Here is a 27,959-nt window from a genome sequence, read left to right as displayed (position 1 = left end):
TGGCTAATTTTTTTGTTGTTTTGTTTTGTTTGTATTTTTAGTAGAGATGGGGTTTCGCCATGTTGGCCAGGCTGGTCTTGAACTCCTGGCCTCAGGTGATCTGACCGCTTTGGCCTCCCAAAGTGCTGGGATTACAGGCGTGAGCCATCGCGCCCGGCCTATTTTTGCATTTGATTCTTGCAGTAGCCCTGTGAGATCAGCTAAGCAGATGTTATTATGCTCATTTTATATGCAACAAAACTAAGAATGTTGGCTCTGATTGTGCCATGTACTATCTAACACTAAGGAATATTGCCTGAGATATCCAAAAATGGCACCATTGGATGTTAATTTATCTTTGGAAAGAATATCTTTGGCAGTATCTAGTAAATCTGAGCATACACATACCTTATGATCCATAAGTTCCATTCTTAAGTTTATTTCAAATAGGAGTGAATATATTTGTTCACCAAAAGACATGTAATAGAATGTTCATAACAGCACTGTTTGTAGTAGTTCCAAACCGGAAATTACTCATATGTCCATCAACAGTAGAATGGATAAACTGTGGTGTGATCACGCACTCAACTTCCATATAGCACCAATAAACTATTGCTAAGCAATGATGAAACTCCTAAACATAATATTAAATGAAAGAAGCCAGACACAAAATGAATACATATTGTGATTGCAATTATATAAAGTTTTATATAAACAGGCAAAACTAATCTTTGGTGATAGAAGTCAGGATGGTAGTTACCCGTGGGTTGGGGGATGGGCGTTACTGGAAAGGGGCATAAGGGAGGGTTCTGGGGTTCTGGTAATGATCTGTTTATTGACCTGGGTGCTAGTGATATGGATGCGATTACATCATGAAAATTCATCAAGCTTACGATTTGTGTACTTTTTCCGTAATGTATAGTATACTTCAGTAAAAAGTTAATTTGCCTTAGGCAAAACAGAAACCCATTATCTTAGGCAAGGTTTTTCAGTGGCTTCCCATGGTACTCAGAATAAAATCCAAAGTCCTTACCATGGCCTGCATGGCAATATATACATGATCTAGCCCCTGACTACCTCCTCCACGTAATTTCTCCCACCATTATTCCCCTTGCTTACTCAGCTCCAGCCACGTGACCTTCTTACTGGTCGGCAAACAGAATAAAACTCCATTCCACTCCAAGGCTGTGTTTTTGCTTTTCCCTTTGCCTGGAATGCTCTCCCCTCAGCTTGTTACATTGTTGGTCTCGTATCATACAGGTAACAGCTCAAATGTCGCTTCTTCAAAAAGTCCTTCACTTAACACTCCATGTGAAATAGATTTCCCAGTCGCTCTTTATTATATAACACTATTATTTTTTCATAGCATTTATAGCTAGCTGAAATTACTTTGTTTATGTATTTATTACTTGTTTATCATCTATCTTCCTCAATAGAAGGTAAACTCTGTCCAAAGACTGAGGTCGTGTCTGCTGTATTCGTCCTTGTATCTTTAATGCCTGACGCACTGCCTAGCATGTAGCTGGTGCGCATATAAATGTTAGGGTTGAACGAATGATTGAAGATCCCTGGGTGAATGGTCCACTAGGCTATAGCTGGGATTCCTCCCACAAAGGGAGACACTTAAGTTGTAAGTCATCCTGTTAAAAGGAAAGCTTTGTTAGTACAACCTCTCTTGTCCACCCCACCTCAGCTTGGTGAGGAGAAAGCTCAGCGCTTTCCCCAGTGCTTCCATGACCTTTGGCCAGTAAAGACTTAAAATATCATATCATAAGATGAGAGAAACAGTTGGAACTTAACTTCTATCCCGTATCCTTAGATTATTCAAAGAAAAACAAAACACGGTCAACAGGCAGTGGAACTCCTCACTCCAATGTGATATTCCTGAGAGAATATTGACTTATCGTCACTTCGTCTCTGGGACAAGTATTGAACATAGGGGAAGCCTTATATAAAATTGTTCAATAAACAAAAGATGTCTTTAACATGTGTTTGAGATCTTTCTTCTCATGATTCCATGTTAGGTACAACAACTATGACCGGGCTGTCATCAATACCGTTCCTTATGATGTCGTCCATCGCTGGTATACAGCACACCGGACTCTAACGATAGAGTTGAGGAGACCTGAGAATGAGTTTTGGGTCAAACTAAAGCCTGGCAGGGTGGGTCCTAATCTCTAAAGATGTCAAGCAAGCTTGTAATACTGAAGCAGTGAAGAACGGGTACTTACTTAATATGTGAGTCACGATGTTGCAAAGGAAAAAGAGAAAAGAGTCCTTGGTTTTGTTTATGGTCCTGCCGCCCACTCACTGAATGCTCTGGAAGCAAGCCTCATCCCATCTCTAAGGCATCAGTGACTCTATTTGTATGATGAAGGGGTTTAACTAGATGACCCCCAAGGGTCCTTCCAGCTTCATGATTCCATAGTTTTTATTTTTGGTATTTCCTCTGGATGAAAAATACCTTCAGCTTAGCATAAAATGTCATGAGATAATTTAACCCTTTGAGAAAGGGTAGAATAAGAATTAAAGAAAAAGAAAAAGAAACAAACCAATTATCTGATTTACTTTGATAAGAGAACAATTACTTGAGAAACAGAAGCTCCTCCAGTGCAGGGCCCATTACCTACTGTTGCCTCTGTAACTTCCATTTAGCCTACTACAGGGCTATACACATCTTAGTTTCCAAAAGTTTGTTTAATTTCAAAAGAAAAATATCTCATTTAATGCAACCAGAAAACAACCTAAAGGTTATCTTTTAAATGATCTCTTCTGACTTAGGGTTCCTTTGGTCTGTCCTTCTTCTGACAGTGTTTTCTCTCTCTTTTTTTTTTTTTTTTGGCCCATTCACAGGTCCTATTTATAGACAACTGGCGTGTCCTACATGGCAGGGAATGCTTCACTGGCTACCGCCAACTGTGTGGCTGCTATTTAACAAGAGATGATGTATTAAACACTGCTCGCCTCTTGGGGCTTCAGGCTTAAAATTGACAGCATCTGGATTATGAATACACCTGGCACCCTGGCTACCAGAATTTCATATGGGCAGAATAATATTGTGTCAAACTCTACTTCAGATTGTCTCCTTATCCCATCCCACAAAACAGAATCTGTCCGTTTCTCTAGTAAGGGAGACTTGTTGGAGAGGCGGGACTCTGAGTTATCTAATGTCAGACATCTAGTGGGGCAGCTCTCTTCCTCATGTTATAACATGGATCCACTTGTTTGATTTAAACCTTTTAATATAATTTTGGTCAGTCTCCTTCAGAAATATAATCTCCATATTGATAGGAAAGCAATAATTGCCATGAGGTAACGATTTTTTTCCCAAGTAGATCAGTTAGAAAGAAATGCATTCTAGAAATAACAAAAATCCTGATAAAGCAACAATTTGCAAAATGTTTGGTCTTAGGACACCTTAACACTCTTAAAAGTTATTGAAGGCCCCAAGGAGTTCTTGGGTGTGGGTTCTATCTATTGATACTAATTATTTTAGGTATTAAGACTGAGAAATATTTAAAGCTCAAGAAGAACACAGAAGCACACATCCCTCAGCTATGAGAGAGATGACATAACCATATGTCATGTAGCCTCTGGAAAAGTCCTCTGTATCCTCATGAGATAACGAGAGGGGGAAAAAAAGCTACTACTGCCTTTGTAACTTCCACTTAGCCTACTACAGGGCTATGCACATCTTAGTTTCCAAAAGTCTGCTTAATTTCAAAAGAAAAATGCCTAATTGAATGTAACTCATCTTGGTGTTATTATACAAAATAATTTTTAATCTGCAGACCCACGAAAAGGGTCTCAGGGACTCCTCCAGGGGTCTTCAGACCATACTTTGAGAACCCATGGGCTAGCGACTACCTTGAGACAGTCCTTTACCTAGGCCTGTGGATTAAAGGGTTTAGCTGAAACCCTAGATTCTTCTCTGTAGTCTAATAGAACTCCAAACATTGTAAGAATTGCTTGGTAGCATAAGCTCAGGGATAAGGTGGGAATTGAGTTCAAATATAGTGTTTTATCTTCCACACAAATCATCTCTATAGGAGTTAAATTAGGAAGTCACAACAGCGCCTGTTGAACAAACTCATCAGTGTGGTAATCCTATGAGGGATAATTGCAGAAAGGTTTTAGAGACTTGTGAGGTTCCATATGATAATTCTTTACACCTCCCCCCCCAAGAGAAAGTACACAGGGCTATTCTGTAATATTGTTCAGGGAAATCAGCATGATAGATGCTGTGCCTCCAGAGAGTTCTCTGGAGATTACTACCCAAATGTGTATTTTGGCAATTTGGTGGTATTTAGGATGTAATATGTTTTCCTCCATTTCTGCTAATTTTCTCTCTCTCTCTCTCATAACATACTATACATGCTAATTGCCAAGATTTGAATGAGTCAAATTTAGTAGCTTGCTGCTTTTATTTTTTAAATGGCTTCTTTTACGTATTGGCGGGGGCGGGTGGGGGGCAGGGTATGAGGCTTCTTTTCCCTCAGCTTTCATTGAAAGTGAAGCTGTACAATAACCACATTGACCACTGTAGAATGATGAAAGAGAATATAGGCTAGGATGCACACAAGAGGGGGGAAAAGGCATTATTAGTGAAGATAGGAGTTACAAAGCAAAGCAAAGTCAGTATTCAGATAGAGAATAGAGCCTAATCTGATGTTTGCAGGGAGTTCCTAGATCACATTTGGCAATTTACACATTATTTTATTGACCTATCCAGTGCTCCAAAATGTGTTCCAAAATATTTTGGCATTTTATTTGTACTACATAGGAATCTTTAGGGGAGTCCCTGAAATTTGTTTTCCTCTTAGGTCAAAGGACTGATAATTAACTTTGGTTCTTAAGGAGTATGCCCTTTAGCAATAAGAACAGCAATAACATTTTACCCTGCAGTTTTTTCTCTATACCTACTATTATGCACTCCTAAAATATGTCATCATTAGTCTTCATGAGGATGTTTACCATTTCTGAAGTTTTGCGTAAATTAGCCTTGAAGATTACACTATAACTGAGGTCATCAGCATTGACTTATGGCCAGCAAAGGACATGCTCATGGCCCTGGAGAGATGAGGACACAAAACAAATCAATTTCCCCACTTACTGAAGGACTCCCCTTACCTTCTGTCTCTCCTGAGACCTTGACTCATTAATTATTTTACTCTCCTTTTTGGAAATTTGCAACCGGTCCTTCTCAACAATGTGCTCCCTTTAGTACACTGAAGAAAAAGAGAAGGGGATTATTTGAGTCCTGATCACGATGCATTGAAAACTTCCTATGTGAGATGTTTCTGTTTTTATATCTCTTCCAGGTGTCCCTGAGTATATAAGCATGGGTCTATGTCTACCAAGCTCACTGTAGAGTCACTTTTACCTTTTGCTATGGTGGAATGGGATCTGTAGGGTCAGGAACACAGCACCTAACACAGTGCCTTATGGATAGTAGTTTTATAATACAGATGTGTTGGAAGAATAAATGAATGGGTCCTTTTCAAACAAATTCACCAGAAGTTACCACATTCTCTGTATGTATGTCCTTTTTCGTTTGGCATTTAGCTGACACTGACTTTTGTTTGCTTTCATCTAGAGTGACCAACCATCCTCTTGTGCCCAGAACTACAGGACTTTCCATTTTAAAAGTAGGAGAGTCCCACACAAACCAGGACTGTTGGTCAGTCACCGTACCTTCTTGCTGCTAGATATGTAATTTTCTTTGGTTTTCATCACCGGTTCCCATTTCTTTGAAAGTGTTTGTAGGTCACACACTGTGTAGTCCATGATGAAAAGAACAAAAGATGTATGAATTATGGTGTGTTGTGGTGGTTCCCAAAGTAGGGTCCCCAGACCACCAGCAGTGGCATCATTTGAGAACTCCTTAGAAATGCAAATTTTCAAGGCCCACCCCACGCCTACTAAGTAAGAAACTCTAGGCATGGGTACCAGCAGTTTGTTTTAGCAAGTCCTCTGCAGGATTGTAACACATGACAAAGTTTGAGAACTACTGACAGGAAGAGTCCTGCTGCTGAGTTCTAGGCCCAGTTCTGTCACTGGCTCACTAAATGACTTCAGGCATGTCCCTCTCCTATTTTGAACTTCAGTTTTCTCTTCTGTGAAATGAAAGCCTTGGACTAGGCAGCGTCTAAAGGCTCTGTCACTCCGTAATTGTGTGACTTTGGTAACTTTGTTTGACTTCTCCTTGCTTAAGTTTTCTCATATGGGTATGGTAAGGAAAATACCTACCTCACAGGATTTTCTAACAATTTTGTGATTATTAAGTATGATGACTGATGACTAATATATGACAGCCAGCTCTTACACAGTGCTTTCTATATCCTGGACTGTTGTAAGTGCTTTTAATCCCCGCAACAATCCCATCTCCATTTTACAAATGAAAAATAGAGGTCACACGGCTAATACGTGTCAGAGTTTGGATTAAAACCCAGAAAAATCTGTCCCCAGAGACAATGATTTTAACTAGCATGCCCTTTTGCTCAATAAATGTTAATTCCCTCACCCTTTCCACACACACACAGTCTAGCTGACCATTCATAGACAATAATCCCACTTTCACAGTCCATCCAACAAGATCTTAAAAGAACCATGAGAATCTCTAGGTTTCTTTTGCAAATAGTTTTCAAGCATTTAAAAAAAAAAGGTGGGGGGCGGGGAGGGAGTGGCCAAGATGGCTGACTAGAAGCAGCTAGGGTGAGTGGTTCTCATGGAGGGGAAGGAAAGGGGCGAGTAAATACAGCGCCTTCAACTGAAACATCCAGGTACCCACATTGGGTCTAATCAAGGAAACAACTCGATCCACAGAGAATGAAGAAAAGCAAGGCAGGATGACAGCCCACCCAGGAGCAACATGGAGACAGAGGAACCTCCTCCACCCAGGGAAGTCGTAAGTGAATGTGCGATCCTGGGAAACCACGCTCCTCCCATGGATCCTTGCAACCCTTGGGTCAGGAGATCCCCTGGTGAACCCACTCCACCAGGGCCTTCAGTCTGACACACAGAGATACATGGAGTCTCAGCAGAGTAGCCGCTTGAGCACGTGCAGAGACCCAGCAGCTTTACATACTCCGGCCCTGGGTTTCCCAGCAAAAGTAACTGCAACTCCTGCAAAGCGGGAGATTAGACCCCTGTACATACCCCTAGGAAAGAGGCTGAATCCAGGGGGCCAAGCGGCACGATCTGCGGGCCCCACTTCCACTGCACCTCACAGGATAAGACCCACTGGTTTGGAATTCCAGCCAGCCACCAGCAGCAGTGTTGCACCTACCTGGGACAGAGGTCCCAGGGGGAAGGGCAGGCTGCTCTCTGGGACAGAGCTCCCAGAAGTGGTACCCCAGAACAGCACAGCACAGCTGCTCTTCAGAAGCATGGCCAGACTGCTTCTTTAAGCAGGTGCCCAATCTGTTCCTCCTCACTGGGTGGGACTTTTCAACCAAGGCCTCCAGCAACCCCTACTGGTGTTCTCTGGCTGACAGAGATTTGAATTCTCCCTGGGACAGAGCTCCCGGAGGGAGGGAGGGGCCACCATCTTTGCTGTTTGGGCGACTTAGCTGTTCCGGCCTCCAGGCTTTGGAGAGCCCACACCAACCAGGGGTGGAAGCAGTGCCCCAGCACAGCACAGCTGATCTGTGAAAGCATGGACAGACTGCTTCTTTAAGCAGTTCCCTGATCCCGTTCCTCCTGACTGGGTGAGACCTCCCAACCAGGGTCTCCAGCCTTGTCCTGCAGGCGCATTTGGGCTGGCAACAGGTCTGTACCTCGCTGGGCCGGAGCTCCCAGAGGAAGAGGCAGGCTGACATCTTTGCTGTTTCACAGCCTTCACTGGTGATAGCTCCAGGTACTGGAAAATCCAAGGAGACTAGGAACTGGAGAAGAAGCCCAGCAAAGTACAGCAGCCCTACAGAAACATGGCCAGACTGTTAAAAGAAAAAAAAAATCCAAAGGTCAGCAACCTCAAAGACTGAAGGTAGATAAGCCCACAAAGATGAGAAAGAATCAGTGCAAGAATGCTGAAAACTCAAGAAGCCAGAGTGCCCTCTTTCCTCCAAATGACTGCATCACCTCTCTAGCAAGGGTTCGGAATTGGGCTGAGGCTGAGATGGCTGAAATGACATAAGTAGAATTCAGAATATGGATAGAAATGAACTTCACTGAGTTAAAAGAGTACATTGTAACCCAATGCAAGCAAGCTAAAAATCATGATAAAACATTGCAGGAGCTGACAGACAAAATAGCCCATGTAGAGAAGAATGTAACCAACCTGACGGAACTGAAAAAACACACTACAAGAATTTCATAATGCAATCACAAGTACTAATAGCAGAATAGACAAAGCGGAGGAAAGAATTTCAGAGCTTGAAGACTGGCTTTCTGAAATAAGACTGGCAGACAAGAATAGAGAAAAAAGAATGAAAAGCAATGAACAAAACCTCCGAGAAATATGGGATCACGTAAAGAGAGCGAATCTAAGACTGATTGGTGTCCCTGAAAGAGATGGGGAAAACGGAACCAATTTGGAAAACGCATTTCAGGATATCATCTATGAGAAATTCCCTAACCTAGCTAGAGAGGCCAACATTCAAATTCAGGAAATCCAGAGAACTCCAGGAAGATACTCCACGAAAGGAACATCCCCAACACACATAATCATCAGATTCTCCAAGGTTGAAACGAAAGAAAAAATGTTAAAGGCGGCTAGAGAGAAAGGCCAGGTCACCTACAAAGGGAAGCCCTTCAGACTAACAGTGGATGTCTCAGTGGAAAACCTACAAGCCAGAAGAGATTGGGGGTCAATACTCAACATTCTTAAAGAAACTCCAACCCAGAATTTCATATCTGGCCAAAGTAAGCTTCATAAGCGAAGAAGAAATAAGATTATTTTCAGACAAGCAAATGTTAAGGGAATTTGTTACCACCAGACCTGCCCTACAAGAGCTCCTGAAGGAAGCACTAAATGTAGAAAGGAAAGATGGTTACCAGCCACTCCAAAAACACACTGAAGTACTCAGACCAGTGACACTACAGAGCAAACATGTAAGCAAGTCTGCAAAATAACCAGCTAGCATCATGATGAAAGGATCAAATCCAAACATACCAATACTAACCTTAAATTGTAAATGGGCTAAATGCCCCAGTTAAAAGACACAGAGTAGCAAGCTGGATAAGGAACTAAGATCCAATGGTATGCTGTCTTCAAGAGAACCATCTCACATGCAATGACACACATAGGCTCAAAATAAAAAGATGGATGAAAATCTACCAAGCAAACGGAAAACATAAAAAAGCAGCAGTTGCAATCCTAGTTTCTGACAAAACAGACTTTAAATCAACAAAGATCAAAAAACACAAAGAAGGGCATTACATAATGGTAAATGGTTCAATTCAACAAGAAAATCTAACTATCCTAAATACATATGGACCCAACACAGGAGCACCCAGATTTATAAAGCAAGTTCTTAGAGGCCTTCACAGAGACTTAGACTGCCAGGCAATGATAGTGGGAGACTTTTTAACACCCCACTGACAATATTAGACAGATCATTGAGACAGACAGTTAACAAAGATATTCAGGACCTGAACTCAGCACTGGATCAAATGGACCTGGTGGATATCTACAGAACTCTCCACCCCAAAACAACAGAATATACATTCTTCTGATCACCGCAAGGCACTTACTCTAAAATCGACCACATAATCAGAAGTAAAACACTCCTCGACAAATGCAAAAGAACTGAAATCATGACAAACAGTCTCTTGGGCCACAGAAGAATCAAATTTGAAATCAAGATTAAGAAATTCACTCAAAACCATGCAATTACATGGAAATTGAATAACCTGCTCCTGAATGACTTTTGGGTAAACAATGAAATTTAGGCAGAAATCAAGAAGTTCTATGAAACTAATGAGAACAAAGATACAAAGTACCAGAATCTCTGGGATACAGCAAAGGCAGTGTTAAGAAGGAAATTTATAGCACTAAATGCCCACATCAAAAAGTTAGAAAGATCTCAAGTTAATAACCTAACATCACTACTAAAAGAACTAGAGAAGCGAGAGCAAACAAATCCCAAAACTAGCAGAAGACAAGAAATAACAAAAATCAGAGCTGAACTGAAGGAGACAGAGACATGAAAAACCCTTCAAAAAATGAAAGAATCCAGAAGCTGTTTTTTTTTTCTTTGAAAAAAAGTAATAAAATAGACCGCTAGCTAGACGAATAAAGAAGGAAAGAGAGAAGATTTGAATAAACACAATCAGAAATGATAAGGGGAATATTTATCACTGACCCCACAGAAATACAAACAACCACCAGAGAATATTGTGAACACCTCTGGGCACATAAACTAGGAAGTCTAGAAGAAATGGACAAATTCCTGGACACACACACCTCCCCAAGGCTGAACCAGGAAGAAACTGAATCCCTGAACAGACCAGTAATGAGTTTGGAAATTGAGGCAGTAATAAATAGCCTACCAACCAAAAAAATCCCAGGACCAGATGGATTCACAGCTGAATTCTACCAGATGTACAAAGAGGAACTGGTAGCATTCCTACTGATACTATTTCAAAAAATTGAGAAGGAGGGACTCCTCCCTAACTCATTCTATGAGGCCAGCATCATCCTGAAACCAAAACCTGGCAGAGATACAACAACAAAAGAAAACTTCAGGCCAGTATCCTTCATGAACATCAATGCAAAAATCCTCAACAAAATGCTGGCAAACTGAATCCAGCAGCACATCAAAAAGCTTATCCACCACGATCAAGTTGGCTTCCTCCCTGGGATGCAAGGTTGGTTCAACATATGCAGATCAATAAATGTGACTCATCACATAAACAGAACTAAAGACAAAAACCACATGATTATCTCAATAGATGCAGAAAAGGCTTTTGATAAAATTCAACATCGCTTCATGTTAAAAACTCTCAATAAACTAGGTATTGAAGGACCATGCCTCAAAATAATAAGAGCCATCTGTGACAAACGCACAGCCAACATCATACTGAATGGACAACAGCTGGAAGCATTCCCCTTGAAAACCGGCACAAGACAAGGATGCCCTCTCTCACCACTCCTATTCAACATAGTATTGGAAGTTCTGGCCAGGGCAATCAGGCAAGTGAAAGAAATAAAGGGCATCCAAATTGGAAGGGAGGAAGTCAACCTATCCCTGCTTGCAGATGACATGATCCTATATCTAGAAAACCCCGTTGTCTCAGCCCAAAGGCCTCTTAAGCTGATAAACAACTTCAGCAAAGTCTCAGGGTACAGAATCAATGTGCAAAAATCACTAGCATTCCTATACACCAGCAACAGTAAAGCCGACAGCCAAATCAGCAATGAACTCCCATTCACAATTGCTACAAAAAGAATAAAATACCTAGGAATACAGCTAACTAGGGAGGTGAAAGATCTCTACAAGGAGAACTACAAACCACTGCTCAAAGAAATCGGAGATGACACACAAAAAAATGGAAAAACATTCCAAGCTCATGGATAGGAAGAATCAGTATTAAAATGGGCATACTGCCCAAAGCAATTTATAGATTCAATGCTATTCCCATTAAACTACCATTGACAGTCTTCACAGAACGAGAAAAAAAAAACTATTTTAAAATTCATATGGAACCAAAAAACAAAAAAAGCCCGAATACCGAAGGCAATCCTAAGCAAAAAGGACAAAGCTGGAGGCATCATGCTACCTGACTTCAAACTATGCTACAAGGCTACAGTAACCCAAACAGCATGGTGCTGGTACAAGAACAGACACATAGACAAATGGAACAGAACAGAGAACCGAGAAATGAGACCACACACCTACAACTAACTGATCTTCGACAAACCTGACAAAAACAAGCAATGGGGAAAGGATTCCCGGTTCAATAAATGGTGCTGGGATAACTGGCTAGCCATGTGCAGAAGATGAAAACCGGCTCCCTTGCTTACACTATATACAAAGATTGACTCAAGATGGATTAAAGACTGACATGTAAAACCCCCAACTATGAAAACTCTGAAAGACAACTTAGGCAATGCCATTCAGGGCATAGGCATGGGCAAAGATTTCATGATGAAGACGCCAAAAGCAATTGCAACAAAAGCAAAAAATTGACAAATGGGGTCTAATAAAATTAAAGAGCTGTGCACAGTGAAAGAAACTATCAACAGAGTAAACAGACAACCTACAGAATGGGAGAAAATATTTGCAAACTATGCATCTGACAAAGGTCTAATATCCAGCATCTATAAAGAACTTAAACAAATTTACAGGAAAACAAACAATCCCATAAAAAAGTGGGAAAAGGACATGAACAGACACTTTTCAAGAGGAGACATACATGCAGCCAACAATCATATGAAAAAAAAAGGTCAACATCACTGATCATTAGAGAAATGCAAATCAAAACCACAATGAGATCCCAACTAATATTAGCCAAAATGGCCATTATTAAAAAGTCAAAAAATAACAGATGCTGGCGAGGCTGTGGAGAAAAAGGAATGCTTATACACTGTCTGTGGGATTGTAAACAAGTTCAGCCACTGTGGAAGACAGTGTGGTGATTCCTCAAAGACCTAAAGACAGAAATACCATTCAACCCAGCAATCCCATTACTGGGTCTACACCCAAAGGACTAAAAATCATTCTGTTACAAAGACACATGCATGTGTATGCTCATTGCAGCACTACTCACAATAGCAAAGACATGGAATCAGCCTAAATCCCCAACAGTGACAGACTGGAGAAAGATAATGTGGTACATATACACCATGGAATACTATGCAGCCGTGAAAAAGAATGAGATAATGTCCTTCGCAGGGACATGGATGGAGCTGGAGGCCCTTATCCTTAGCAGACCAACACAGAAAGAGAAAACCAAATACTGCATGTTCTCACTTATAAGTGAGAGTTAAATGATGAGAACATATGGACACATAGAGGGGAACAACACACACTGGGGCCTTTTGGAGGATAGAGGGTGTGAGGAGGGAGAGGATCAAGAAAAACAACTAATGGGTACTAAGCTTAACACCTGGGTGATGAAATAATCTATGCAACAAATCCCCTATGACACAAGTTTACCTATGTAACAAACCTGCACTTGTACCCCTGAACTTAAAAGTTTAAAAAAAAAAAAAAAAGGAGTTAGTGGCTAATAAACTCTAAATAAAGCATTTCAAACTTAAAAGCAAAATCTAGCCAGGTGCCGTGGCTCACGCCTGTAATCCCAGCACTTTTGGAGGCCAAGGCAGGAGGATCGCTTGAGGTCAGGAGTTTGAAACCAGCCTGAGCAGCAAAGCAAGACCCCGTTTCTACAAAAAAATAGAATTAAAAGAAAAGTTAGTTGGGTGGAGTCATGAGTGCCTGCAGTCCCAGCTACTCGGGAAGCTGAGGTGGGAGGATCTCTTGAGCCCAGCAGTTCAAGGCTACTGTGAGCTATGATCACGCCACTGCACTCCAGCCTGGGTAACAGAGCAAGACCATGTCTCAAAAAAAAAAAAAAAAAAAAAATTCATCATTTCTAATTTTGCCTCTTCCAAGAATGGAAGGAAATTAACCTATTCAGTACTGTTTTTTCTCTTGAAAAATACCAGTCAGTTGTTAGGCTCAAAACCCTTTGATAGAACATATCCATATCACTGGCCCCAGGGTGCTCTTGGGCATATTGGAAATCCACTCACTTAGCTCAGCTGTGGATTAGCTCAACTCTTAGTTACGAGACCAGAACATGTCTGCATCCTCACCTCCTTAAGCCTGCAGCTCATCAGAACCAAAGACCCTGGCAGAGTTTGGTGGTAGTTCTTTTTTGTCAGACTTACAGTCAGGGGTTGGTGGGTTTGTGGGTAGCTCCATTCTAGTCCTGGGCTTTAATCTGTGAGTATGGCTTTTGTCTTCCATCTTGCTCAGGGTACTTTGGAACCGCTATACATTGCAGGAGCTTAGCTTCTGGTTACCATGGTTTGCTTCCAGAGCAACAAGCCTAGTACTTCAACATGGAGACAATTATCTTTTGTTTTTGTTTTGTTTTGTTTGTTTTGTCTTGGCCATGCCTTTTTGAGTTTACCTTTTTATATTTTGTCCATCATTGCCATGTGTTTGGAGCAGTGGGCGTTCCATAACATGAACTCACTGTACCATCACGAATGGGAAGTAAGGGGAAACCTTATCCATGTGGATTTTACTCTTCCCTGATTCCCTAAATTGGGTTTGCAAAATACTACTGTGCACTTTCTTGATGATTCGGGCTTATCTTTATGACTGTCTGTTTTTGTGTCAGACTGTAAAGAAGTATAAAAGTCTTTAGCTTGATTAATGCAATCCACGCTTCCTTTCTGGAAAAAAAAGGGGGGGGGCGCGCATTTTTTTACAGTTGCAATAAATCGTCTTAAGCCATGTTGGTGTATATCATATAGATTAGTAGTGGTGTTCTAGCTTACTTTCTGTGTGGGCAGGCAGGCACGGTAATTTATCCCCTGCACGACTAAAGATCACAAGGGCTAATGCTGTGTAAAACTGTGAACTCAGTGAAGGTTTTTCTCTGTTAGCCCCATCTTTCTCCATGGTCTACCCACTGATGGTGGCCACTCCCTCCAATTCAGGTACTCCCTCCAATTCAGGTACTCCCTCTCACCATCTGCTTTCTAACTTCCTCTCTGATGCCTTGACTGAGGCAGTGTCGTGTCACAGGAAGAGCACAAACTTGGAATGATCTGGGCTTGAATTCCATCTCTGACTTTTACTAGCCTGGGAAATTGTGGGAAGTTGCTTTCTTTCCTTGAGCCTGTGTTCCTACATATGCAAAGTGGGGCTAATAAATGCCAGCTAGCTGAAAAATCTATGATGAAGAATGAATCTATACATGTGTATAAAGTGTGAGCAGCACATAAAAAAACACTCAGTACATAGTAGTTGTTTATCATTGTTGACAATATCACTGCTTGAGAGAAGAGGAGGAATCAGGGCTAGGCTGTGTGTTTGACAGGAATCAACATTCTACTTAGGGGGAAGCAGCAAATTTATGACAGGCAGAATTGGAAAAGTATGTGAAAATGTTAGGGGTCAGAGAGAGTAGGCAAGTTGTGAAGCACAGATATATTGGCAAGACATCTGAACTTCTAGGCCGGAGGGTTCCTGGATAGGAAGTTGGCTTGGGGTTTTGGCAGTCCGAAGGCTGAGAGCTGAAAGAACAGAATGGTCAGGGAACAGGTCAGAGAGCCAGATGAGAAAAGCTGAGTCTGGAGAGTTTTAGGGAGAGTGGTGTGGTAATGAAGGTGTGTAGAATCAATGAGACAGGCAGGCAGACACCCATGCTCGTGATGATGCATAGTTAAGGTGGAGCACATACTTCCACATCTAACTTCACCATCTCCCAAAACCCCACTGGAACTGCTACAAATGTGATTTTTGAAAGGATTAGAAGGATAGGAGTGAAGATGAAATAAAAAGGGTTGAAGAACAGGAAAGGAGGCAACAACTAAATTTTGGATGCTGAAGAACAGATGGATGAGTGGCAACTGACTTAGCAGATCCAAGAAGGCCACAAACTAGGAATTCTGAGACCTTAGTGGGAAAAGCAAAAAGCTAACTTGATTTACTCCTCACCCCCAGGAATCTTCAAAGGCTGGACCAAGGTAACTCTGGAAGTGGAGTTACCTCTGGAAGTGAAGGGGGGTGGGTATCAAAATAATGAAGGCTGTTTGAAAACTCTTTTAAGAAGTAGATTCATTGCCAAATCCCCTCCTGCTGTCAATGCCAGTGAGGGGCTGGCCCTTCCCTGCTCTGACAGAAGCCTGGAGTGTTATTCCCTGGAGAGGGTAAAGCAGAGGGTCTCTGGATGGGGAGTTCGCAGACTTAGTTGAGGGCTGGGGTCCTGTACTGAAAACAGGGGTGTTGAGTGGAAGCATGTGTCCTGAAAGCTGTGAACTCCCAGTCTTCTTCCCTGCCCCTGCCCCTAAACTTCTGGCAGCTGGAAGAGTCTTCTGTGAGCCATCTGACCAACCTAAGAGAAAAAGATCTAAGGAGACTCACACTGAAGGCTCCCCAGTAAAGGGCTCACTCAGCTGGGTTACTCCCCGATGAGGTACATATCTTGATACTGTGAGGAAGAAGACACCCATTCAATTGAGGGTACTTATTTTTGGAATAGGAGGAGAGACCTGAGCATTTTAGTTACTGCAAGGAAAGGAGCCAGGCAGAGAAGACGGAGAGATTAGACATTCTTGAGAGAAGAGGTAATTGATGGAGTGAGGCACCTGGGGAGGCAGGATGGGATCGAACCCAGAGCAGGAGTGGAAGTGACAGCCTGAGTCAGAAGAAAGCACCTTCATCTTTCACTGAGATAGGATGAAAAGAAATGAGATCTGGTTATAGACTCAATTTGATCCATTATTATTTTGCAGCCACTATATCCAAGGCGTTGTGTGGGGTAGTGTTCATTCATCCATCCACTCATTCATCCAACATTTTTTGGAGCAACTACTGTGTTCCGGCACTGTGCTGCGTGCTGGAGATACCGAGATAAGTCAGACAAGGTTCCAGTCCTCAAGGAGCTCACAGTCACAGGACGAAAGCAGGCTCACAACATAGGGCAATATGTGCTGTGAAAACTGAGCACAGGGGGCTGTGAGAACACGGAGCAAGGGACACTGTAGAGAAGGGAATGAAGCAGGTATGGAAATGGATATAGAACAAGACATGGACTGCTCTGTGCATTCAAGGGCAGAGAGATCTCATCCAGCAGGGCCCATCTGCAGAGGTTTCATGAAGTTAGGTGGTCTTTGAGTTGAAACCGAGAGGATGCCTAGGGTTTCTTTCAACCTGCAGTGACGTGGGGGTGGGGAACGGGTGCCCACCAAGAGGTGAAAACAGATGCAAAGATCCAGAGGCAGGAAATTGCAAGAGGACATGTTCAGGGTAGAGGGAGAGGCCCTGGTTGAGCACCTGAGAAGCCCCGGTTGAGAGTATGCTGAGGCAAGTGGTAGGAGGTGCAGTTGTGAAGCAGGAATAGGATGAGATGCAAAAAATATCACTGAAGCAACATCACAAATTGCAGCCGGGTTGAACAAATGGATTGTGTAAAAAACACCAGACTGTGAAATGAGAAACCCGATTCTGTTTGAGGCCCAGCTCTGAAACAAACTTGCTCTTGATGTGGTGTGTAGTGACTCAGTTAATGTCTCTGAACATTGGTTTCTTCATCCATCAAGTGGTAGCAGGAACACCTTTCCTGCCTGTCTCATGGGGTTCTCGTGAGGAGCATATAAGTCAGTGTACGAGAAAACACCTTTAAAACAACAACAACAACAACTCTTTAAAGTGCCGGTGCACACACGTGAAGGCTTATTATTGAGGAGACGCTTGTGCTGGGAACACAACCCTAACCCTAACCCTAACCCCTAACCCTAACCAGGGGAGCAAATGTACTGAAATATTCTCCTAAAGGGATCCAACAACATTCCGAAACTAGTTGTTAGGTAACATGGGGAGCGAATCAACTCCTGTTAATTTGGAATGTCTATATGTCAAATTTACATACAATAAAAATAGATTTGTACTATCCTGGCGGTCTACCGATGATAGTACAACAGGAATTATACACACAAAAACATGCAAATGTCCGATTGTTCTTCATTCACTCAACCAACATTCATTGACCATTCTGCTGTGCACTGAGGGCAGGCACGCTGGAGGCCAGACAAATAGAATTTCTGCCCTCAAGATCTCCTTGTACCACGGGAGACACATGTATTAACAGCCAATGTTAACACCAGGTAAGCACAAGGAGTCTGTGGGAGCTCAGAACAAGGGTACCTAAACCAGTCTTTTGCAGCTGAGGTTGTATTAATATGAAGTAGTACCATTGCCCCGATTTTACAGATGAGGAAACTGAGAGTTAGAGAGCAAGTGACAGAGCCAGTACTCTAACCCAGCTGTTTTAATTCTGAATCCAGGGCTTTTTCTGTCTCGCCACAGCTGCCTCTTTTGCTTTGTAAATACTTTAGGTCTAATGCATATGGCAAAAGATAAGTTGTCTTGTGTGTCCCTGCCCATCCTAGACTGCCTGCTCCTTTCCAGAGACAAACAGGAATTTGGGGGTTAGAGCACTTCCGTGTGTCCAAAATGTTATATTTCAGATATAAGTAATAATAATAATAATTAATAATTAATAGTAAAAGTCCTCACCCTATCTATAAGTTCCTTTTGAAAGCTTCTCAAGAGTCCAGGAGTGTGTGTGCACACACGCATGTACGTGTGGGTGTATATGTATGCACGTGTACGTGCACGCATGCAAGTGGGTGCGTGTGCATAGGCGTTTGGAGTAGGGAAGGTTGGGAAGCACTGGCTCCTGCATTTTCAACAAACCTGGATACAGAGAAAATGGAAAATGAGCCCAAACAAAAAGGAACTTGCAGAAGAAGGCAGGTGAAAATAACCAATGAGAGAAAAGAGTTCTCAGGAGACACCAGGAAAGCAGTGTCTGCTGGCCACATCTACTGCTTCACTGGCAGTTCCATTAAAATAAAATATATTCCACTAAAATATATATAGGGAAAGTGGTTTCCTCCATCATGTTCTTCTGGGAATTTTGTGGAAATTTCCTGACGTTGTGTGAGTCATAAAAGGAAAAAGAAATAATTTCCATTTCTGGAAATATTGCAGATTACATAACCCGAAATCCCTCCTTGCTACACAACACCTAAAAAAGCTGGGTAACTAGTGGTCTGTGGTTGCCAAAAATGACATCCTGTGAACATCCGGGAGCCTCAAGCAATCCCAACGCTACGGCAACTGAAAAAAAAAAAAATGAAGGGATTGCACTAAGTAGCTCGTAAGATCCCTTTCATCCATTTCTTTGCACCATATCATTCTTTAGTTCTTGTATTCACTCATTCACTGGAACATTTACTGAGCACTGATTCTATATCAGGTATTGGCTGCGTTGTGTTTTGATGAATACAAAGTTGAAAGGCATGGTCCCTGTATTCAAATAGCTCACCACGTTGTGCAGTGGCTCTTGACCGGAGCTGCACATCTGAATCACTTGAGAAGGTTTGCAACAATGCATATGCCTGCCTTCCTCGCTGCCCTCAAGATTCTAACTTCATCCTGGAGGGAAATGAATAGCCCGGCATTCTTTCTGTGTTGATTTCTGAAACCCAGAGCCTGAAGGGAATTCAAAGTGTTAGACAGCATTCTATAGAAATATGAAAGGGAAAGGATTTCTTCTGGACAGGATAGATCCTCAAGCTCGGGGGAAGGTGCAGAAGAGGCGAGACCTCTGTCATTTCCAAGAGGAGTGGGAACCTGGGCCCTGCTGCCCGACAGCAATGCCAAGGAGAGACGTGGATTGATTTGAGAGGCATTTTGAAGGTAGAGTCCACTGAACTTGGTGTCCAATTAATTGCGAGAGAGGGGTTGAGGGAGAGGAAGTTGTCAAGATGACTCCCAGGTTACTGGTTTGGTCAACTGGGCACACCTTATTCACACAGGGAATATTAGAAGAGGAGAGAGCTTGGAGAGAAGATGTTTTCAGTCTTGGATATATTTGAGTTTGGGGTGCATGTGGAACAGAACATCCAGGCAGGGAAGTCCAAGAGGCAATTGGATACTCTTACCTGAAGCTTAGCAGAGTGTTCAACCTTGTATATCATTTTAAAGTGATTGCATCACTCCCAACCCTCTTAAAAACTTTCTGAGTAAAGCATAATACCAACTTTATACATTTCCTTTCAAAGAGCACACAAAAAAAATCAGTTCTTTGTGCCTCAGGGAAGAGCCACACCCAGTTACCTATATAACCATATTTTGAGTACCACCTCGTGACTTTTCTGCAGCCTTCAGTACCTGCTTTTAAATGGTCACATATAATAAATGCACTAAAAGCAGCCATGTCTCACCACCGTTTGCTTAGGGCAGGATTCCCATCAGCAATGGATCTTCATATTTTTCCACTTCTGAGCCTAGGGAAGAAAAATCCATGAAGGTAACCAGTTCATAAAGTGGCTCTTCTTCCCAAAATTTCTTGTGACATGTGGCTTTGAGCAATTAGGGCTCTTTCAACCCCTAGGCCCTTCCTCACTCATCTTAAGCTGTCATTGAGTGTCTGGCACCCCAAAGCACCAATCTTTCTTTGAGGCTACATATTCATGAAAAGTCTTCCCCCGCCCCCATCACATTCCTCTTCCAGAGAATTTGTGGGAGCTTCTTAGTGCTCTGGGAGTTTTAAAGGGGAAAGCAATTTCCATTTCTGGAAACAGTGCACACTAGATAACCTGAAAACCCTCCTGTTACAAAGCACCTTTTAAAAGGCAGGATAAAATTTAATAAATATTCCTTTTAATGCACATGTGATGAACTTATGGTGGAAGTTGACCCTCAGGTGTCAAAAAACAAAGAGGAACCTAAAGAGCAGATCAATGGGCATTTGAATTTATGTTAGGGTGGTAGGGGAATGGATTCAATAACCACCAGGGAGAGGAGAAAAGCCTTGGTGCCTCACAAGGGCTACACAGTCAGTGAAAGGATGGACTAGGAAAAAAAAGTCTTCCCACCACCATGGTGAGATGACAAGAGAGTTTGTTTCTTCATGGGTTCTGGTGGGAGAAAATAAAATGCTTCCCCTGGTCATTTGTAACTCTAAGGCTATTGTCATGTAGGTCTAGGGTTGGAATTAATACCTCTTATTTAGGTCTTGAAAACCCCAAGCTTACACATTAACATCAAAAAGATAACAGCCAGAGATACACCCCCAGTCAAACCTCATTGAAGTCACACAGATGAAGCCGTTTGAACAAATCCCTAAACTCACAAACAAAATTATAAAACACCTGAGGAAAAAAAAAAACCGCCTGTGATTGAGTATCAGCAAACACAATGATGAGCAGGATTACACTACCAAAAACTTTAGATAATAGAGCCAACCGAGAGTATAAAATAAGTTTGTATAAGATACTTAGAAACAATAAGGAATCCAAACATATGAGAAAGATCAAGATTCTACGGAAAAAGAAGAGGCCGGTTTCTTTCTTTAAGGAACCAAATAGAACTTCCGAAAATGAAAGACATTATTTCCAGTGACAGCAAAAGATCAGAGGATGGGTTTAAAAGCAGATTCATCTGCTTTAGTGAACTGGAAGATAGAAGTAAGGAAATTATTCAGAAGGCAGCAAGGAGAGATAGCAAATGTATAAACGGTTAAGAGATACAGAAAAATGATGCAAAGGTCCAAAAAAACTCTAATAGGAATGACAGAATCAGAGAATAAAGAGAGCAGGGGTAAACCAATAATCAAAAGGATACTGGCTGGAAATTTTCAGATTTGAAAACAGACATAGTTCCTCGTATTCTAAAAGCATGAGCCACAGCAAGAATCAATAAAACTGAATCACAGGGGAACCGGCGCAGGTCAACAAAGAAAAGGGGAAAGATCTTAAAATCAACCAGAAAGAAAAGACACAGTGCTATCAAAGGGATAATAAACTGACAGCAGACTTCTCACCAACTGCAATAAAAATGGAATCATATCACTAATGCATTCGGGGAATGGGGGGAAATGTCATACCCAACTAAACTACAATTCAAGAATGAGTGAAATAAAGATAGTCTTTTTGATATATTTTAAAATATTTATTTATTTATTTGTTGAGACAAGGTCTCACTCTGTCGCCCAGGTTGGGGTACAGTGGTGCGATCATGGCTCACTGCAGCCTCGATCTCATGGGCTCAAGGGATCCTCCTGCCTCAGCCTCCCTAGTAGCTAGGACTACAGGTGTGCACCTCCATGCCTGGCTAATTTTTTTTTTTTCCCCAGTAGCTGGGACTACAGGTGAGCACCACCACTCCCGGCTATTTATTTATTTATTTATTATTTTGTAGAGACAAAGTCTCATTATGTTGCCCAGCCTGGTCTTGAACTCCTGAGCTCAAATGATCCTCCCACCTCGGCCTCCCAAAATGCTGGGATTACAGGTGTGAGCCACTGCACCCAGCCAGTAAAGATATTCTTCAACAAAGGTTGAGAGGGCTGACCACTCACAAACCCTCACTGAAAGAACGACTTAAAGATGTTCTTCCATTAAAAGGAAATTGAACGAAAAGAACAAAGCAAGATGCAACAGAGGAATGGTGAACAAAGAAACTAGTAACCATGGCCATGAGTCCAAAAAAAAAAAAAAAAAGACTGCATAAAAACAATATGACTGACCAAATTATAACTAAATACTGGACAGCACTGACTTGTAAGACAAGGTCCTTGCATTGTTTGCGGTGAAATTGGAGACGATTAAGATTTGATAAAATGAAGTGTTTGCGATTAAAAATAAAAAGACCTTGATAATTTCATATCCGTTAGTGTGGATTCAGATCCATTAGAAAGCTTACATTTATCTAAAACTAACTCCAAGTCAGCCGGAATATATCCCAGGAATAAAAAAATAACCCTTCAAAACCAGAGATTTTGTAACTGAACTCCGGTCCAGGCCATTCATCACCTGAAGGCCAAAAACTCAAAGAGAGGAGCTTTGGTGAAAGGAAAGTTAGCTTTATTTGAGAAGCCAGCAACCGGGAGGAGTCAGTGAACTAGACTTCAGTGATCACCTCTCTGAGTTGTGCCTCTGGATTAGGGTTTTTTAAGGGAAAGCAGAGGAAATAATGATCAAAACATTCTTCTAAAACGTGTTCAGTCTCAGGTGGGCAGTTAATCACTGCTTTCTTGGTCAGTGTTTTGTGACCTTCCACAGGCACCGTCAGCCTATTCTTACCAGGCTGGTCAGCCCCTTCCCAGAGCTGCTGGTTGGCGTGTTTTCTTTTATCTCTGTTGAAGGTCCTGTTTTCCTGAGACTATTTTTAGTGAATAATCTACAAACTCAAGCAAAGCAATAATCACATTCAAGCAAGCAAACTTTTATCTTAACTTGGAGTCAGTAACATTACAATTTATTTGTAAAAGATGGCAGAGTGAAGAAAGATAAAAGAATCTCCCTTCCCCGATCCTACTAAATAAATTAAAAAATAATACATAAATAATGGTAAAAAGCAGAATGAGAAGAAGAGAAGACTAAGGAGGAGAAGAAGAGAAGACTAAGGAGGAGAAGCAGGAGAAGGAGGGAGAGAGGGAGGAAAGTGGCTTCCCAGGAATATATATATATATATTTATATGAATATACATACATGCATTACACATGTATGTATATCTACATGTATATTATATAAGTATTTATATAAATACATGTATATTACATATATAGATACAAATATAAATACATGTATATTACATATATATTTATATAAATATACTTACATGTATATTACATATATATTTATATAAATGTACTTACACGTATGTTACATATATATTTACACCAATATACATACATGTATGTTACAAATATATTTATATAAATATACATACACGTATATTACATATATATTTATATAAATATACATACATGTATATTACATATATATTTATATAAATATACATGCATGTATATTACATATATATTTATATAAATATACATGCATGTATATTTACATGTATTTATATAAATATACATGCATGTATATTTACATGTATTTATATAAATATACATGCATGTATATTTACATGTATTTATATAAACATACATACATGAATATTTACATGTATTTATATAAATATATGTCTATCTATTTATATAAATACATGTATATTTACATGTATTTATATAAATATAAATACATGCATATTTATATAAATATAAATACATAAATATACATGTATATTTATATAAATATAAATACATAAATACACATGTATTTATAGTTATATAAATACATAAATATACATGTATTTATATTTATATAAATACAAAAATATACATGTGTTTATATAACTATAAACACATATATATTTATATAACTATAAATACATATATATTTATATAACTATAGATACATATATGTTTATATAACTATAGATACATATATATTTATATAACGATAGATACATATATATTTATATAACGATAGATACATATATATTTATATAACGATAGATACATATATATTTATATAATGATAGATACATATATATTTATATAACGATAGATACATATATTTTACATATATATTTATATATATTTATATAACTATACATACATACATATTTATATATATTTATATAACTATAAATACATACATATTTACATATATTTATATAACCATAAATACATACATATTTATATATATTTATATAACTATAAATACATATATATTGATATAACTATCAATACATATACATATTTATATAACTATAAATACATATATATTCATATATATTTATATAACTATAAATACATATATATTCATATATATTTATATAACTATAAATACATATATATTCATATATATTTATATAACTATAAATACATATGTATTTATATAACTATAAATACGTATGTATTTATATAACTATAAATACGTATATATTTATATAACTATAAATACGTATATATTTATATAACTATAAATACGTATATATTTATATAACTATAAATACGTATAAATTTATATATATTTATATAACTATAAATACGTATATATTTATATATATTTATATAACTACAAATATGAACATATTTATATATATTTATATAATATAAATACGTATATATTTATATAACTATAAATACGTATATATTTATATATATTTATATAACTATAAATACGTATATATTTATATATAAATCTAAATACGTATATATTTATATATAACTATAAATATGTATATATTTATATATAACTATAAATAAGTATATATTTATCTATGTATGTAACTATAAATAAGTATATATTTATATATTTATAAAACTATAAATAAGTACAAATTTATATATTTATATAACTATAAGTAAGTATATATTTATATATTTATATAACTATAAATAAGTATATATTTATATATATTTATATAACTATAAATAAGTATATATTTATATTTATATAACAATAAGTATATATTTATATACATTTATATAACTATAAATACGTATATATATTTATATAACTATAAATACATATATATTTATATGTATTTACATAACTATAAATACATATATATGTATTTCACTATAAATACATATATATGTATATAACTATAAATACATATGTGTATTTATATAACTATAAATACATATGTGTATTTATATAACTATAAATACATATATGTAGTTATATAACTATAAATACATATATGTAGTTATATAACTATAAATACATATATGTAGTTATATAACTATAAATACATATATATGTAACTATAAATACATATAGATGTAACTATAAATACATATATGTAGTTATATAACTATAAATACATATATATGTAACTATAAATACATATATGTGTAGTTATATAACTAAAAATACATATATATGTAGTTATATAACTATAAATACATATATATGTAGTTATATACCTATAAATACATATATATGTATTTATATAAGTATAAATACATTTATATTTATATATACATATTTATATATAAATATACATATATGTATTTATATCTACGTATTTATATATACAAATATATACGTATTTATACATACAAATGTATACGTATGTATATATACGCATTTATATATATAAATATATACAGATTTATATATATAAATATATGCACATTTATATATAAATATATACATATATAATATATGCACATATATACACATATGTATACATACATACGTATATACATATACATACATATATACATATACATATACATACATATATACATATACATACATATATATGCATATATATAAATATATAGGTATTCATATATACATGTATATTATATAGGTGTTTATATATGTATTTATATATGTATTATATATAGTACATATATATGTATTATTGTACATATATATGTACTATATATTTATAGTACATATATATATATGTATAAATTCTTGTGGGGAGGATGGCTGGTTTAGCACACTTCTCATTCTGTCCCCACCCCCTGGAAGCAATACTGAGGAAAAACAATGTGAGCCAGTCAGATCCTGAGAATGGGATGTAAGGCTCTCTAACTTGAGGAGAAATGGACTGAGAGAATAAGCAGAAAAAAGTAAATACCTTTGTGAACAGAAGCCCTCAACTGCCACTCCTAGATTTCACCAGCGGTAGGAAGGCTCCCAATTCTTTCCATTTTCCAAGACACCGTGCTGAGTTGGGCAAACAAAACAAAACCCTCAGAGTAAGACACACCCTTGCATGGATGGACTAGAGCATGATACATGATATTTAGCAAGATCTTAGAAGAAAAGGTAGATTGAAATCAACATCCCACCTGCCCTCAAATTATCACCCTCAGAATGTTAGAGCAAATAGAACGTCTGACAATGTTTTCCATAATTGAAATAAAAATAAATGGTTTAGCAATGATGCTAACAATCTACAGGGATAGAGGGAGAGGGAAAAGGAGGGAAGAGAGGAGAGAGAGAGGGAGGGAGGAAGGAAGGAAGAAAGAAGGAAGAAAGGAGGGAAAAAGAGAAGAGGGGAGGAGGGAAGGAAGAAAAAGAAGAAAAGAAATAAGGAAATAGAAAGAGAAAGAAAGAAGAAGAAAGAAAAAAGAAAGAAGAAAGGAAGAAGAAAGAGAAAGAAAGAAACCATCATAGTATACAAAAGACAGATAACCATCACAGACTGGAAGAATGCATAAAACAAGGAACAGATGCAACTAACCCTAGAGTTCTCTAAGCCATAGTAAAATTTAAAATATGATTTCAACTTAACAAAGTTTCAAAGACCAGATGATTGGCAACCGAATATGATTTTTTTTTTTTTTTAAAAAAGGAGATTACTGAGCTCAGAAAAGAAACCGAGAACTCAAAGAACCACATGGTGGATCAAAGAAGTAAATTAGGAAGAGCAAGATGCAGAAGAGACATGCACACAAATCGAAACAAGGGCATGGAGGAAGGACTTTAGATGGTCACGCTAATGCTGATCCAACATTAAGATAATTTACATGCCTTAAGTAAAGAGCCTAATAAATGGGATAGAAAAATATCCACAGATGCCATATGTGAAAAGTTTCCAGAAATAAAGGAAGAATTGAACCTGCTCCTCAAAACGACAAAGTCTCTACCATCAAAAATTGATGCAGAACAATCAATATTGAGATATATTCTAGTTGTGTTATGGTACTTCAAAAAAAATTAAAGAATTTCTTAAATTCTTTAAATTAAAGACACCTAAGCACGTGCGCGTGCACACGCGCGCGTGCACACACACACACACACACATCAATTACTTACAAGGGAACAAATTTGTTCCACTTAAATGTAAAAGTAAAATGTAACATCTCCAGAATGTTTCTGCTCCTGGGTGAGATGAAGCATGCACACTCTACTGAATGCAGCTATAAAATGTGGACACAGTGCATGGGCCAGCTATTTGAGGACTCTGAAAAGTAAATGGAAGGAGGCAGACCGGGGAAAGACTACAATTTGAAGCACCACTGAAACAGCAGTGAATTTGACATTTTCCCCCCTTTAGTATCCTTGGCTCAACGTAGCCTGCAAGTTAGAAGTAGACAGTGGTGTGAACAGAGAGAGCTCTGGTTCTGACTTGAGAAGAGGGAAAAGGGAATACTAACCCTCAGCGATAGTTAAGGGAATCCCCAGTTTTTCTTTCTTCTTTTCTTTGTACTTTCATGTTCTAGCCCACAGGCAATCCTGTGGCAGCAGTGGTGGTGACAGAGGCAGTGACAGTGACAGTGGCAGCCGCCAGGGCCTTCAGGTGATTAAAGCTCTGAAGGAAAGTAACCTTCCTCTCTGATTGTAGGTCCCAAAGGGGTGCCCGTGACTTCTTTTTCCCCTCTTTGGTCTTCCTGCCGAATCACACCAGAGGAAGGCAAAGGCACAGGAAGCGTGTGGCAGAGAAGAGTCACTAAAGCGACAGCAACA

The 27,959-nt window shown here is 38.9% G+C and overlaps 1 protein-coding gene and 1 long non-coding RNA gene across 7 annotated transcripts in view; one reads left to right on the top strand and one right to left on the bottom strand.

Annotated features, from left to right (window-relative positions):
- Positions 1 to 5,488, top strand: part of TMLHE (trimethyllysine hydroxylase, epsilon) — a 123,942-nt gene extending 118,454 nt beyond the window's left edge. For 5 of the 6 annotated variants that reach the window (XM_047442235.1, XM_047442234.1, NM_018196.4 and 2 more), the window contains 2 exons: positions 2,004 to 2,142; positions 2,833 to 5,488. In XM_047442235.1, the coding sequence (XP_047298191.1) occupies positions 2,004 to 2,142; positions 2,833 to 2,964 (271 nt within the window). In that variant the 3' untranslated portion in view covers positions 2,965 to 5,488. Of the gene's footprint in view, positions 1 to 1,798; positions 1,965 to 2,003; positions 2,143 to 2,832 lie in introns of those variants that run through there. The other variant, NM_001184797.2, reaches the window with a different exon arrangement.
- On the bottom strand, positions 389 to 27,959 carry TMLHE-AS1 (TMLHE antisense RNA 1). The gene is made up of 4 exons (NR_039991.1): positions 27,650 to 27,959; positions 19,898 to 19,960; positions 5,110 to 5,207; positions 389 to 1,619 (listed from the first exon to the last, which is right to left on the bottom strand). It is a non-coding gene; the product is annotated as a TMLHE antisense RNA 1 (long non-coding RNA).

The sequence above is a fragment of the Homo sapiens genome, chromosome X (genome assembly GCF_000001405.40).
Source record: "Homo sapiens chromosome X, GRCh38.p14 Primary Assembly".
NCBI classification, from domain to species: Eukaryota; Metazoa; Chordata; class Mammalia; order Primates; family Hominidae; genus Homo; species Homo sapiens.
The sequence above is the reverse complement of the archived record's forward strand: the minus strand, read 5'-3'. Positions and strand labels throughout refer to the sequence as shown.